Here is a 16,231-nt window from a genome sequence, read left to right as displayed (position 1 = left end):
ATCATGAGTTCAGGAGTTCAAGACAAGCCTGGCCAAGAAGGTGAACCCATCTTTACTAAAAATACAAAAAATTAGCCGGGTGCAGTGGCAGGCGCCTGTAATGCCAGTTACTCGGGAGGCTGAGGCAGGAGAATCACTTTAACTTGGAGGGCAGAGGTTGCAGTGAGCTGAGATCACGCCACTGCACTCCAGCCTGGCGACAGAGTGAGACTCCATCTCAAAAAAAAAAAAAAAAAAGCAATGTTTTGGCCGGCGCAGTGGCTCACGCCTGTACTCCCAGCACTTTTGGAGGCCGAGGCAAGGTGGATTCCCTGAGCTCAGGAGTTCGCAACTAGCCTGGGCAAAACAGTGAAACCCCGTCTCTACTGAAACACAAAAAATTAGCTGGGCTTGGTGGCATATGCCTGTATTCCCAGCTTCTTGGGAGTCTGAGGCAGGAGAATTGCTTGAACCCAGGAGGTGGAGGTTACAGTGGGCCAAGATCACACCACTGCACTCCAGCCTGGGCAACTGAGTGAGACTCCATCTCAAAAAAAAAAAAAAAAAGAAAAAGAAAAAGCAACATTTTGAGATATTTGATGAAGCAGGTATGTAGTATAGTAGAGAAGGGCGTTCTCAATGACAAATGAAGGTGGAACTTTTCTTGTGCCTGGATCATTTTTGGGTAGCTTAATGTGAAGAGCTATAAGCCCACAGTCTGGCAAATAGCAAATAGATACTCTTTGGCAATGTGCAAGCCTCTTGACATGCCTACCTCTGAGAACTGATTTGGAAACAGGATGGGTGGCCAGGAAAGAAGGAAATCTACAATTCTAGCACTTCCAAAAGACACTTTCATGAGACTGTCTCTTAGGAAAGCTGCTGTAAGCTTGTTGAGGACAATACCTTATTCCCAATGGCCTCCTGATTCCCACAGAAGGCTTTTTAATTAACCAGCTCAAGATTTGTGCACATGAATCACCATTGCTAGCTCTTCTTTCCTTTGACTTGGAAGGTTATAAAGAGTCTTTATTTATCATACTGATTGCCATACTCAGGTGAAAACACAGCTTTTCCAAGAGCTTTTTCTTCTTAGTTCCCAAATATTTAGTCATTCCAGGAATGAGATAAGAGGAGGAGGGTACCAAGTGACTTCTCTGTGGAAGGAGAAAGAGATCACTCTGAAAGGCATGTCATAACCTAGTGTTAAGAAGTGCGTGTACTTACATAAGATGCGTGGGTGGGAAATATTTAGGGTATTGTGGCCATAACCAGGAAATTTTTTTGCCCACGTCTGACTCCCTATTTCGAACAGATTGTTTTTGGCTTGAGACTAGACTTCTGAACACATGCATTCCAAGTCTACTTCCTTAGGAGCACCCTTGTGTTGTTTAATTTAGCCAAAACACATCAAAGTGTGTGGTTTCAGTATCTGCTAGTTCAGTGTCTAATTACAATAACAGGAGATGGCTGTGTCAGCATCTCGGCCAAGACCATCAGCAGGGGAGAGGAAAGCTGATTATCTTTCTCAGCAGAGGACGGGGCAGCACTGTGGGAACTCCAGGCAAATAGGATCAAAATGGGGCAGGGAAAGGCAAAAGGAACATGAGAAAGGGACTATTTCAACTTTCCGAACTGAGGTTTTGCCATTCTTTTTATCTGTTTTTGTAAGAAGTACTCTTTCACCCCCGAAACATGAAATGAAGGTTGCTTCTGGTTCTACAACAGCAGCCCTTTGGAATATTTCGCCCTCATCAGGCAGTTGGCTCCCTGCAATGATGTCAGCTATAAAAATGCAATAGGAGCAGCCTTTTATTCATCTCATTTTATTATGCTAAAATTTTGTTCCTTGTTCTGCACATGTGAAGAAAATAAGAATTTTCTTTTCTTCTTAGTTTTTTTTTTGTTTGTTTGTTTGTTTTTTTTTGAGACAGGGTCTCTCTCTGTTGTCCAGACTGGAGTGCAGTGGCGCTATCTTGGCTCACTGCAAGCTCCGCCTGCCAGGTTCACGCCATTCTCCTGCCTCAGCCTCCTGGGTAGCTGGGACTACAGGCGCCCGCCACCACGCCCGGCTAATTTTTTGTATTTTTAGTAGAGACGGGGTTTCACCGTGTTAGCCAGGATGGTCTGGATCTCCTGACCTTATGATCTGCCCGCCTCAGCCTCCCAAAGTGCTGGGATAATAGGCATGAACCACTGCGCCTGGCCAGTTTTTTTTTTTTTTTTTCTTTTTTTTAGTTTTTTTTTTTTTCTTTTTTTTTTTTTTTTTTTTAGTAATGCAGTGGTTTCTTTCAAAACTCTTTTAGTTCTAGGGACATAGAACTCTTGCCAGTGATTAAGATGGATGATTTTAAAACCAGGAATTGAGGAGGCTGATGTCAGCTAGAATCCCTTTAAAGGCCCCTTATTGGTGGGTGTTGGATTACTCTGAAGACCAGGTTTGACCAAAATGTACATAGTAGCTGAGAACACAACATGGTTTCACTATAGTTTCCCACTGTGGCAAAATGTAAGGTGCAAGGAAAATAAATCATGTTGAGATGGAAATTTCTTCTTGCTTCACTTATAATCTGACTTCCCACAGCTTTAAGTGGGAAGAACATTGTCAAGGGCAATAAACTTTATTTTCTTCTTTCATTTCTTCTAAAAAAAAAAACCAAAACCATAAATAATACTCAGCACTCGTGTACCAGACGCCGATTTTAGTGCCTTGCTGGTATTAATTTATTTAACCTTATATAGGCTAAGTATCCCTTATCCAAAATGTTTGAAACCAGAAGTGTTTTGGATTTCAGATTTTTTCAGATTTTGGACTATTTGCATATACATAATGAGATATCTTGGGAATGAGACCCAAGTTTAAACACAGAATTCATTAGTGTTTTGTATGCAGCTTACACACATAGTCTGAAGGTAGTCTTATTTCTCCATGGGGTTGCTAAATAAACCAAATGTAGTGTGCCTGTGTTTCTACCATGACCCACTGAGATCAGGTGTAGAATTCTCCACTTGTGATGTCACGTCCGTGCTCAAAAGTTTTGGATTTCAGAGCATTTTCCAGACTTTTGGATTAGGAGTGCCCAAACTGTAATATGTGCATAAATATGTATTATTATTGCCTTTTTTAACTGGTGAGGAAGCTGAGGCACAGAGCTAGAAAGTGTAGATCTTGATTCGACCCAGGCAGTCTGGCCTCAGTGTCTAGACTTACACCATGCTGCCTCTGTATCCATTAGCAGTTGAGACATGGAGCAGGAAAATCTCTTTGAGAAAGTCAGACATCAAGGAAGAATAACTCCTAATGTTGACATGTATAATTTCAATAAAATTTGACACTAAATATTTTCTCATTTCCATTATGATTTCTCTTTTGATATGGGAGTTAGTTAGCAGTGTCCCCTGTCAACTCAGAAACTGTAATAGCTGTTACTAAGATGAAAAACAGAGCTAAAATGAAATTATCATCTTCTCTTTATAGTCCATTTTCTTGCTAAATTATAGAAAGACCATCATTTGCATAAACCATGGGAAGAAAAAAAAGCCCTCTGATTGGATAAGCATGAATACCTGAGTTTGAATCCTGCCTCTGCCCCTTACTAGATGTGTTATCTTGTGCAAGTCAGTCGGCTTCTCCATACCTCAATTTTCCCATCTGTAAATTGGTTATAACAGGTACTATTTCATAGGCTTATTAGAGTGAAGTGAGTTAAAATATGAAAAGTGCTTAGAATAGTGCATGGGGTAGGTGCTCAATAAATATTATCTATTGTTGTTGTTGTTTCTAATAGTGGATTGGCAACTGCACTTCAGTATTATTTCACAGTACTTATGTTTTTTCCATAAACTAATTTAGGGAGAAGTTGTTGATGTATAAACTAATAGTTTAAGAATATTCTCGAGTTGATTCTAGAATAAATCACAATGCAATTTAGCAAAAACCGTTATAAACTTTGTACTTCCTTTTATAAATTAATGTTTTAAGACAGGTCTAAATTGCCATTTAAAAACAAAAGTCAAACTTACTAAACCTATCCTGCACCTTACTGCCTCATTATGTTGGAGGAATTGAACCAAAGAAACCTGCAATTCATATTGTCATATCCTGAGAAGGAAGCAGCATATTCATTAAAGTATATGAAATTAAGGGATTTTTTTCCTCCACTGCAGAGCAGAGTATCCGAACAATTTAGTCAAAAAAAAAGAGGTATGGTAAAAAGCGAACAACGCTGTAGGGTCATGGCTCCATGTGGACAGCAATAGAACGTGAGCCCTAGGAAGGTCTTTCATGAAGTCACTCAAATGTTTTCTCATCTCTACCTCCTCATTGGCTTATTCTTCTCCCTTTCACTGTGGTACTGTGAGGATCAGATGGAAAACTGGACATTGAAAGCCCTGTGGATGGAATGCCTATAGCAGATACTCTGGACTGTGCATTATCATCTTCACTGAGATTCCTGGAAAACTGGCCAGAAAGTTTGTGGAAATCAAACCATATAATCACATATATAGTGGGGAAACAGAAAAATATGGCAACTCTGTTTCCCCAAGGGGAAGTGATCAATCCCTTTTCTTTGGTAGTGGGAGAGACGGGGTAGAAAGTGCATTCTGTGCTCATACAGGACATTTTGTAAAATCAACGATGAGATGTCACTCAAAGTGGGATTTCTACATTTGTGATAGGCCTTTCCTGCTGTTGATATGGCCCCTCCACCGGTTGTATAAATACCTGAATAGTTAGGGTGGCAAAGGGAAGAATAATATTAAATAAGCTAAGGACTTGTGAATGCTACCAGGAGGATACCACTTTTTCCCTTCAGACAACTATTTCTAAATTAACAGTCTCCAAATCGTAAGTTAAAAACAATTTTTTTGGCAGGGTGTGGTGGCTCATGCCTGTAATTTCACAGCATTGGGAGACCAAGGCAGGAGGGTCACTTGAGGCCAGGAGTTTGAGACCCAGCCTGGGCAACATAGCAAGACCCTCTCTACAAAAAATTTAAAAATTAGCCAGGTGTGGTGGCACATGCCTGTAGTCCTAGCTTCTTGGGGCGGCCAACGTGGGAGGATAGCTTGAGGCCAGGAGTTCCAGACTAGCTTGGGCAAAATAAGGAGAACTCATCTCTACAAAAATAAAAATAAAAAATAAAGCCTGGTGTGGTGGTGCACTCATGGTCCCATCTACTCAGGAGGCTGAGGTGGGAGGATGGCTTGAACCCAGGAGACTGAGGCTGCAGTGAACTATGATCATGCCACTGCACTCCAGCTTGGGTGACAGAGCAAGACCTTGTCTCTTAGAAAAAAAATGCACCCCCAATGTGTTTGTTCATTTATTGATCATTTATTGATATATAACCTACTACTGTGTATCCATAAAGTATATAATTATTTTAAAACTATAAAGATACATTTAAAATTTTTAAATGTTTTAATAATTTAAGGGCAATAAAGATGAAAAGGCAACGTTTTAAAATAACAACAGCTAACAGTGATACAGTGTTAATTGTATGCCAGGCATTGATTTAAGTGTTTTTCACACAGTAACTCATTTACTGTCTTGCTAAGAGCAAAGACTTCCTGCTATCATTAGCTAATATCTCAAGGCAAAATTCATCATTAACAATAGCGAGTATAATTCCATATTTCAACTCTCCCCTTGAGCGTTTCAGAGTATTTTGGCTAGATATGATGATGATGATTGTCAGATATGACTGGATTGTCATTCCTGGGAATATCAAGTGCCAGCTCTGACATGTTCTTATTTGCTCATGTTTTCTATCTGTAGTTTCTTTGCAGAAATTTTTTTAACCTGTTGTCTACTATGTGAGGAATAATTTTAATTTAAAATTTAGTAGTATAATCACCAGTTAGGGGCACAGGTCCCCTGCAATGGGTTGCCATATACCAAAACTAACAGGCATGGAAGAGCACCAGCATCCCATGCACGCGGAGGATTGACTTACGTACCACGCGAGGGCGCCAGTGTCATCCCGAATGAAAACTAGGAAAGCATTTCTAACGTGTCTCTTACACGCCGACCAATTCCCCCTCACATTCATGTGCTTCGTGTGGAGAGCACTCGTCTCAGGGGAAGAGGGATAAAGAGGTTTGCAAAACTCTAGAGCTCTGTGCAGTGAGTAAAGGAAGGCAAAACCGTCGTTTCCTTAAGCTGGAACAAATACCTCAAACCCCACTCCTTGGCTTTGTGTATTTCCTCTCCTACATCTGGGTATTTCTGTTGGTCTCCACAGGAAACGTCTGAGGTTATGTCTAGAACCTCTCCTTCTCAGTTGGCACTCCATAAAGAGGGGATGGGTACCTCACAACCACCCAGATGGCTAACGCTGGCTGTTTTAGTCTATGGATTCCCCGGAGTTCAGGTGCACGTTGATGTAGCTCCTGTTCGAGTAGGGCTAAAATTTAAGCTGGTCATTTTTGACATCTTTGGTTGGCCCTGGGATCAGTATACCTGAAGCTGAATGGACACCACCTGCTTGTTTCTGAAATGACTTCAGCTCCTTGTTTAATAGTTAGATTTCTGTTTGGAACAATCTTGTATTTGTTGAAAGGCCCAAGGAGTCTTTTCCAGTTAGAACTCATTAAGTTCTGGCATACTAGATTTTTTGAAAAATGGGAAAAAGAAAATAAAATTATTAAAAAGCAGTTTCCTTTTGCGAGAAGAGAATGTGATAGTGAGCCTACTGTAGAGAAAGTCTAAAAGAGAAACTGAATTTTCAAGCTCTCAATTTTTCACCTTCTGGAATCTTCCTTCATCAGGCTGCAGATGTATTCCTGAATAGAAGTAGGTAGGCATTTGTGTGTTATAAATTGCATATAAGACTGATTCTTTGTAAATGAAATAATTTAGAGTGCAACTGGAAAACTGCCTCAAAGTTATTGTTTTGTGAGTCAGAAGTGATTTCTGCCAAATTGAATTATATGGTAAGTCAGGAAGGGGCTTGATACTGTTTTTCTTCAAGTGGAGTACACATTTAACTCATGTTTATCTGGAGCAAAAATAAGGTTAAACATTTGTTAGAATGAATATGAGTAATTTTGAAGGTATTATGTCAAGAGCTAGGTTACTCTAATTATGAAGGGTCTGATTTGCATCCTGTGCTGGTGCCCCATCAACATTTTCTGAAGCTTCCGGAAGAGTAATGCAGAGCCATTGCCGAAACATTTGAGCAATCAGACACGTATGCAATTACTAGTAAGCAATAAACAAATTAAAATAACACAAGCAACACTGAAGTGCAAGGCCACACAGTAACAGAAGCCGAGGAGATTAATTACACAAAGTTATGTGACACTGGGGAGAGGGAAAGATCCCTTAACTTGGAGTCTGAAGAACTAGGTTCAAATCCTATCTCTGCCACATACCAGCAGAGTTACTTAAACTATCTGTACCCCAGTTTCACTGTTGGCAAAATGGAGTGACAACAATTTTATTGTGATGTTAGGGGGATTAAACATAGGTGCTTGATAGATTTGTATTAGTTTATTCTCACGCTGCTGAGACATACCAGAGATTGGGTGATTTATAAAGGAAAGAGGTTTAATTGACTCACAGTTCAGCATGGCTGGGGAGGCCTCAGCAAACTTACAATCACGGTGGAAGGGGAAGCAAACACATCCTTCTTCACATGGTGGCGGAAAGGAGAAATGCAGAGCAAAGGGGAGGGAAAGCCCATTATGAAACCATCATATCTTGTGAGAACTCACTATCACAAGAACAGCATGGAGGTGACCACCCCCATGATTCAATGACCTCCGACAGGGTCCCTCCCACGACATGTGGGGATTATAAGAACTACAGTTCAAGATGAGATTTGGGTGGAGACACAGCCACACCATATCAGATGTCCTTTGAACTAAGACTTCCTTTAGGGGAAATAAGAAAGGTGAACAGAAGCAACAGGAGTTGCACAGTAGAGCGAGATGAGTACACCATTTGGCAGAATTGGAAGTCAGGAGCTCAGATGTGCAGCCTGGTCTCCCCACCTGCTCAGTGTCCCTCCAGGCTATTTAATAGTATAAGTAATTACCATTACTTCTAGTGTTTTTGCCACTCCTATGTGCTGAATACAGTGCTATACATTTTATCATTTTTAAAACATACAGTACAATTAACTTTTTCCTTTTGGTATACAGTTGTATGAATTTTAATGCGTGCATAGATACATATCATCACTGCTGCAACAGGGATTCAGAGCAGTTTCATCATGACAGAGAACTCCTTCTTGCTATCCCTTCATAGCCATACCCCTTCCCGTGTGCCCCCCATACCCCATGGTTAGCTGCACATTTAATACATGTTATCCACTCACGTGATGCCATGCACTTTGTTTTTCTAACATTCATCACACTTGTAATTACCTGATCATATTCTAGATTGTTAGTTCAAGAGCTTGAGAACCATGACATTTTCATTTTCTGCTGTATCTCTAGTGCCCAGCATGGAGCCTGGCACATAGGAAAGGAGGCTCCAAGACATGTACCATTACATGAAGTAATCTTACTGTCTGTGCCACCATTTTGCCTTGTCCTTTATCATCTTCTTCAAATAAGGAAATGGAGTTGAGAGAAGTTAAGTAACTTCCCCAAGGTCACATAGTAGTACATTTCAGAGCCCAGATTTGTCTTGATCTAAAGCCTGTGGTCTTTCTATGTTAAGACATATCATGGTAGATAGAATATGTTTGTTTTAACTCATTTGAGAATGCGTAAGTAAATATCCAGCATTTAAAATAACTAAAATTGCCCTTGGACTGTTAAATAATGTAAATGCTTAAACCTTGTTCATTTACCATATAAACACAAAATCTTAGAGTTAATACCAAACTGAGGAGATGTTCCTCCTTTGCCAACAGTATGAGGGGTGGATATGCCCTAGCTCAGAAGAGATTGGATTGAGAGAGAGAGGGAGACAGTGAGTTTCATACTGGTTATGTAGGAACGAGGCTCAGCAAATCAAGTACAGCCAGAGATGGCAATGTCTCTTCGTTTCTTTGGAGCCCCTCTGAGATTCCCAGGGTCCCAGATGCAGACTCCTTATTTGCTTGGCACACTTGGCCTCAGGGAGCTGAGAGGACACAGTCCTGGGTAAATAAAGCAAGATCAAGTCATCCCCAATCCTGGAGTAGGGTAGGGTTATGATATTCTATTGGTTTTACCAATGTGAAGTGTCTTATATAAAATCCCTATTTGCCAAGCTACTGTATTGCTTTGAAAAAATAAAAACCATTCTCTCCTTTTCTTTCTTTGTATATTTAATAAGTATTTATCGAACATCTATTCTGTACCAGACACTCATTGGGAATACCAGAGCAAATGAGACACACCTAAGTCTCTGTGAGCAGGGCTGATGCATACTGGTGTACAGAAAATGGGATGCACAGGGGCTGAGGTGATCCAAGCAGGCTTGATGGAATAGGTCACGCTTCCACCAAAAACCGAAGGATAGTTTTCCAAGCAGAGAGATAGGGATCAGTGTTTCACGCAGAAGAAAAACATGATGGTCATAGTTCCAGAGGTCACTGAGAGTTAGAAGAGAGGAAATGAGAGAAGTTCAGGACCACTGAAGGAAGCAAGAGATGTGCTGAAGAGTGAATAGTAACTAGATCATTCAGTGTCTGTAAGACATGTCAGCATCTAAGAGAAAAAAGTGGCATTTTAAGGGCAGTAGGGAGTAACTGAAGATTCTGAGCAGTGAAGCAATACATGTGTATTTGCAGTGAAATCGCAGGTTTCAGATGCTTTAAAAGCATCACCTTCATACCACTTGTGATTCCCCAGGCCTATCTCTTAGATTCACAGTTGCATTGCCCAGGCCACCTTATTTCTGGCTTAGACCCCTAACCTTGATGAAGGCCCCTCCTGCTCATGTGACATTGAGGAGACATTCATTCCTTCATGTTCACAGATCTGACTTTATGCATCAAACCATCCTGCCTATCTTACGGCAGTTGATGGCATCATTTTGAGGAGAACCAGGTAGGAAAGAAGGGAGAATCCTCATATCCTTAAAATAAGTGTACAGGCCGGGCCTGGTAGCTCACCTCTGTGATCCCAGCACTTTGGGAGGTTGAGATGGGTGGATCACTTGAAGCCAGGAGTTTGAGACCAGCCTGGCCAACATGGTGAAACCCTGTCTCTACTAAAAGTACAAAAATTAGCCTGGTGTGGTGGTGTATGCCTTAGTCCCAGCTACTTGGGAGGCTGAAGTGGGATAATCACTTGGGCCTGGGAGGCAGAGGCTGCGGTGAGCCAGGATCGCACCACTGCACTACAGACTAGGTGACAGACTCTGTCTCAGAAAAATAAAATAAAGGTACAGCAAAACCTATTTGATCATTCCACCTTTGAAAATAGATCTTTAATCTCTCTAATATTTTGGTCACATTTCAAACACATGTAGCCCTCTCTGGCCTCATATAGTTCTTTGAAACACCTCTTGCAGTCCTTCATGAGCCTTTTAAATTCTAGCACTTCTTTCTTGCCATCCAGCTTTCATAGCACTCCTAGGTACAGAGGCATTGCAACTCACTAGTACCCACCAGGTGGTAAAATGGAGGCTTCTCAGTCTGCTTTGCCAGACTGGAATGTCACCCTAGCCCTCAAGGCCGCTGTCCAGATGGTGCTCAGGGTGAAGTAGGGGCTTCTGGAAGGAGATGATATTTAAGCTGAGTACTGAAAGCCAGGTGGGAGTTATGTAAAGGAGGTGGTGATGGTTAGTGGTTTGTGATGAGCTGCAAGTTCTGTAGTTTGGTGTGGGTGGGATTTGAGTAAGGGCTAGAATGTGGGGAGATCATCAGAGATTCAATCAGAGACGGCAAACTGGAGGCTCACGGACAGGAGCCAGCCCACAGAGCAGGCTGTTAGACTCATAAAAGAAAATGACCAAATGTTGTGTTTTAGGAAAAATCACTCTGGTTGCAACTCAGATTATAGAGTAGAAAAATGGACTATGGCACTATGTATAAATTAAGGCAACCTTCCCTCTGGTGGTAGGGTAGGGGTGGTCACCTTAGCATAGAGGTTGATGGCTGAAAGCATAGACTCTGGTCCCTGCTGCACAACTTAATAGGTGGTGACCTAGAGCAGTTATATTCTCTGTCTCTCATTTTCCTACAATATAAAATGCAGATAATTACCACACCTCTCACAGAGGAGTGGAGTAAGGATTAAACGAGTTCATATTTGTAAAGCATTTAGAGTATTGCCTGCTATATAAGGTTTATTAAATGATGGGATGGGTGGCCAGACACGGTGGCTCATACCTGTAATCCCAGCACTTTTGGAGGCTAAGGCAGGAGGACTGCTTGAGCCCAGTTCACTAGCCTGGGCAACATAGCAAAACCTCATCTCTCTGAAAAATACAAAAATGAGCTGGATGTGGTGGCACATGCCTGTAGTCCCAGCCACTCAAGAGGCTGATGCTGGAGGATCATTTGAGCCTGGGAGGTTGAGGCTTCAGTAAGTCGTGGTTGTGCCAGTGCACTCCAGCCTGGGTGACAGAGCAAGACCTTGTCTCATAAATAAGTGATGGGAAGGTTTTTCTGGACCTGTAACTGGATGTGTTTCTCTGACCTTAGAGTCTCTTACACTTTTAACAGCTGAGCTGAACTCTAAGCACATAGCAGAGCCCACAATGTGGTTGTATTTCCCCGAATAGTATGTCCCTTTTTTACATCCTCCTAGCATAGGAGGACATTGAAGATTTTAACATCTCATTATAAACTTGTTTTTATCTAGTTCAAGGGATTAAAAAACAACAAACCATGGCATAGAAATGTTAAGCAAAAGGGACAACCAGCTAATGGCCTAACACCTGTCCTGCCACCACTCAGCTGATGATTGGTGTTGAAGATGGGATTAGAATCCAAATCTTCTCACCTGTAATCATTGTTCTTTCCTCTTTCCTATGAGTTAGAGCTCTTTGTGTTTTTACCTTTGTTTTATGACACTTTTCATTGTTTAAATGTGTTTCTTATGGCCTGAATGTGACTGAATGTTTTTTAGGGCAGGATTTACCTCCTACCTTAGCATCATGACTTTCACCCTTATTTCTTTTCTAATCTCACAGAATAGCTTGAGTGATCTTTTAAAAACATAAATTGATTTTGTCATTCTTACTTCAGTCAATGGTTTTTTTTTGTTACACTTATGCTAAAGCCAGGATCCTTCATGTGTCCTGTAAATATTGAGTGGTCTAGCTGCTACCTCTCTCTCCACCCTCATCTTGCTCCTCACTCTCCCACTCAGCCACATGGCCATGGTTGAGTCTATGCTCGTGCATCATGCCCCCATTCTACCGCAGGGCCCTTGCACCTGCTGTTGCTACTGCTTGGGATTCTCTCCCCTCCCCTCCTTATCTCATGAACTTCCATGCATCCTCAGCCTAGTCCTCATGTCCTCAGGAAGCCTTCTCCAATGTGTCCTGTCCCTCTGCAGGCTGGCCTTGTAGTACTAAGAATTTCTCCTTGTCCTCTCTTTGATCAGACTTGTGATCTTATGTTTGTACGTGTGATTATTTGATCAGTGTCTTAGTATGTTCTCTCACTTCTCTAAAGAAATACCTGAAACTGGGTAATTTATAAAGAAAAGAGGTTTAACTGGCTCACTGGTCCACAGGCTGTACAGGAAGCATGGCTGGGGAGGCCTTAGGGAAACGTTCAGTCGTGGTGGAAGGTGAAGGGGAAGCAGGCACATCTTACATGGCCAGAGAAGGAAGAGAGTGAAGGGGGAGGTGCTACACACTTTTAAACAACCAGATCTCGTGAGAACTCACTCACTGTCACAAGAACAAGGGGAAATCCACCCCCATGATGCAGTCACCTCCCACCAGGCCCCTCCTCCAACACTGGGGATCACAATTCGACCTGAGATTTGGCAGAGGACACAAATCCAAACCGTATCAGTCAGTGTCTGTCTTCCCCACTGGACTATTAAGATCAGGCCATGTCTGATATCTCTTTCAGCCAGTCTTTTATCTCTACTGCCTACTCCAGAGCCTGTTGCATAGAAAGTGCTCAAATCACATATTGGTTGAATTAAAAATCAGCTATTTTATTTCTTAGCACCTAACACAGAATCGAATGGAAATCAAGTTTTAAAGAGCACAGAGTAATGGTTCATGTCACCATATCTACTCAGTGTCTTCTAGCATTATACTAAAAATTTTATTTAATGGCTTCAATTAAAAAAAAAAAGCCTTCAGTATTTATTGCCATAGGGTAGATAAGCCAGCTAGTCAGAAGTAGATGTTATATCCATACCTTACCTCTTTGTCCACCAATTTTCTGAAAATAGAGATCCCAAATATTTATTTTTCTTAGTGTTTTATATCCTACCCCTCTAGTTACATTTTTTCAAATGTAATGTTTTATTTCTCCCAGTTTTATTGAGGTATGATTGACAGAAATCATGTATTTAAGGTGTGCATGATTTGATATACGGGTGCATTGTGAAATGACTGCCACAATCAAGTTAATACATCCATTCCCTTACATAGTTACCAGTTTTTGTGTGTTTGTGGTGAGGACACTTAAAATCTACTCTCTCAGGTAATTTCAAGTATACAGTACAGTGTTACTAACTAAAGTCACCATACTGTACATTCGATCCCCAGAACTTACTCATTTTATACCTGAAACTTTGTACCTTTTGACCATTATCTCCCCACTTTCCTCAACCCCAGCCCCTGGCAACCACCATTCGACTCTCTGCTTCTACGAGTTTGACTCTTTTTTAGATTCCACATATGAGATCAAGTGGTATTTGTCTTTCTGTGTCTGGTTTATTTCACTTAGCATAATGCCCTCCAGGTTCATTCATGTTGTTGCAAATGGCAGAATTTCCTTCTTTTTGTGGCTGAATAATATCTTATTGTATGTAAATAATATACACCACATTTTCTTTACCATTCATCTGTTGATGGATGCTAAGGTTGTTTCAGTGTCTTGGCTGTTGTGAATAATGCTGCAATGAACGTTGGGCTATAGATACTGATTTCATTTCCTTTTGTTATATAACCAGCAGTAAAATTGCTTTATATGATGGTTCTATTTTTAATTTTTTGAGGAACCTCCATACTGTTTTCTGTAATGGCTGTACCAATTTACATTCCCACTGACAGGACAGAAGTTTCCTTTTTCTACACATCCTCACTAACACTTGTCTCGTTTTTTTGATAATAGCGATCCTAACAGGTGTGAGGTGCTATCTCATTGTGGTTTTGATTTGCATTTTCCTGATGATTATTGATTTTGAGCATGTTTTCATATACTTGTTAGCCACTTGCTTATCTTTATTTGAGAAATGTCTATTCAGATCCTTTGTCCGTTTTTTAATAAAAAACAAAAAGATTTTTAAAAAGTGAGTTTAATACATTGCAGTAGAAATTAACCAAAATGGGCCGGGCGCGGTGGCTCAGGCCTGTAATCCCAGCACTTTGGGAGGCCGAGGCGGGCGGATCACGAGGTCAGGAGATCGAGACCATCCCAGCTAAAACGGTGAAACCCCGTCTCTACTAAAAATACAAAAAATTAGCCGGGCGTAGTGGCGGGCGCCTGTAGTCCCAGCTACTTGGGAGGCTGAGGCAGGAGAATGGCGTGAACCTGGGAGGCGGAGCTTGCAGTGAGCCGAGATCCCGCCACTGCACTCCAGCCTGGGCGACAGAGCGAGACTCCGTCTCAAAAAAAAAAAAAAAAAGAAAAAAAAAGAAATTAACCAAAATGAAGCATTAAAAAAATGAAAGCATCCTTAATGAGCTATGGGACAACCTCTAGGGACTACTACAGGTGTAATTAGATTCTTCCAAGGAGAAAAGAGAGAAGGATACCAAAAAAAATTTTTTTTAAGAAATAATGGGTGAAATTTTTCTAAATCATATGAAATAACTGTAAGTCCACAGATCTAGAAAGACAAACTCCAAGCACATGAAACATGAAGAAAATGACACTAAGGTACATCATGCTCAAATTGCTCAAAGCCAGGATAAATGCAACTTTATTTTCTTAAACAATCTTTTTTTTTTGAGACAGGGTCACTCTGTCACCCCAGCTGGAATACAGTGGCAAGATCTTGGCCTGTTGCAGCCTCCTTCTCCTCGATTCAAGGGATTCTCCCATTTCAACTTTCTGAGTAGCTGGGATTACAGGCGTGAGCCACTGTGCCCAGCTATTTTCTTATACAATCTTTAGGCCTTTTCTTTTTTCTTGCCTATCTAGAACCTTCCAGTATCATATTGAATAGAAGTAGTGAGAGCATACTTTTTTTGTTTTGCCCAGTGTTATGGGAAAGCATGCAGTATTTCACCATGAAATATGATATGAGCTAAAGGTTTTCCCTAGATGCCCCTTATCTGGTTGGGGAAGGTCCTTAATTTCAGTTCACTGAGTTTTATGAAAGGTATCGATGGTGAGCATCTTTTCACAAGCCTGCTGGCCATTTATTTTATGTCATCTTTGATGAAATGTCTCTTCAAGCCCTTTGCCCATTTTTTCATCGGCTTGCTTGTTTTGTTTTGTTTGCAATAGAATTGTAGGAGTTTCTTGTGTATTTTGAAAATTAACCCCTTATCACACACATGCTTTGCAAGGGTTTTTTCTTATGCCATAGGCTACCTACCTTTTGGTTTTGTTGATTACTTCCTTTGCTGCGCAGAAACATTTTAGTTTAATGTAGTCCCACTTGTTTGTTTTTGCTTCATTGCCTGTGCTTTGGGTATCATATCTAAATAATCATTGCCAAGACCAATATCAAGGAGTTTTTTTCCCCCATGTTTTTTTCTAGGAGTTTTATGATTTCACGTCTTACATCTAAGTCTTTAGGCTATTTTGAGTTGGATTCTGTATATGATATAAGAATAGGGCCCAATTTCATTCTTTTGCATGTGGATATTCACTTTTCCTAATACCATTTATTGCAGACACTCTTCTTTCCCTAATGTGTATTCTTGGTACCCTTGTCAAAGATTAGTTGACAACATATGTGTGGGTTTATTTCTGAGCTCTCTATTCTATCAGCTATGTCATAATTGAGCTCCTTTTCTCTAAGATCTAACACGTGTGTAATTCAAACATGGGTTCAAAAGTGCTCATCTTGAAGTAGTCTAGAAATCCACCAGCAGCCACTAAACCCAACGTAGATGAGGGAACACGGGTTGCATGTAGCTGTAAGGCAAGAAGAAGGAATGGAGAGACCGAGAGTGACATCAGCTGGAGAACTAAGGGAGGTGGGAAGTATAAAG

The 16,231-nt window shown here is 41.0% G+C and overlaps 1 protein-coding gene across 3 annotated transcripts in view; it reads left to right on the top strand.

The window, feature by feature from the left end:
- PPM1H (protein phosphatase, Mg2+/Mn2+ dependent 1H) overlaps positions 1-16,231 on the top strand; it is a 291,157-nt gene that overhangs the window by 115,783 nt on the left and 159,143 nt on the right. The window lies entirely within an intron of this gene.

Source organism: Homo sapiens, chromosome 12, assembly GCF_000001405.40.
Source record: "Homo sapiens chromosome 12, GRCh38.p14 Primary Assembly".
NCBI classification, from domain to species: domain Eukaryota; kingdom Metazoa; phylum Chordata; class Mammalia; order Primates; family Hominidae; genus Homo; species Homo sapiens.
This window is presented reverse-complemented; position numbering and strand designations above follow the sequence as displayed.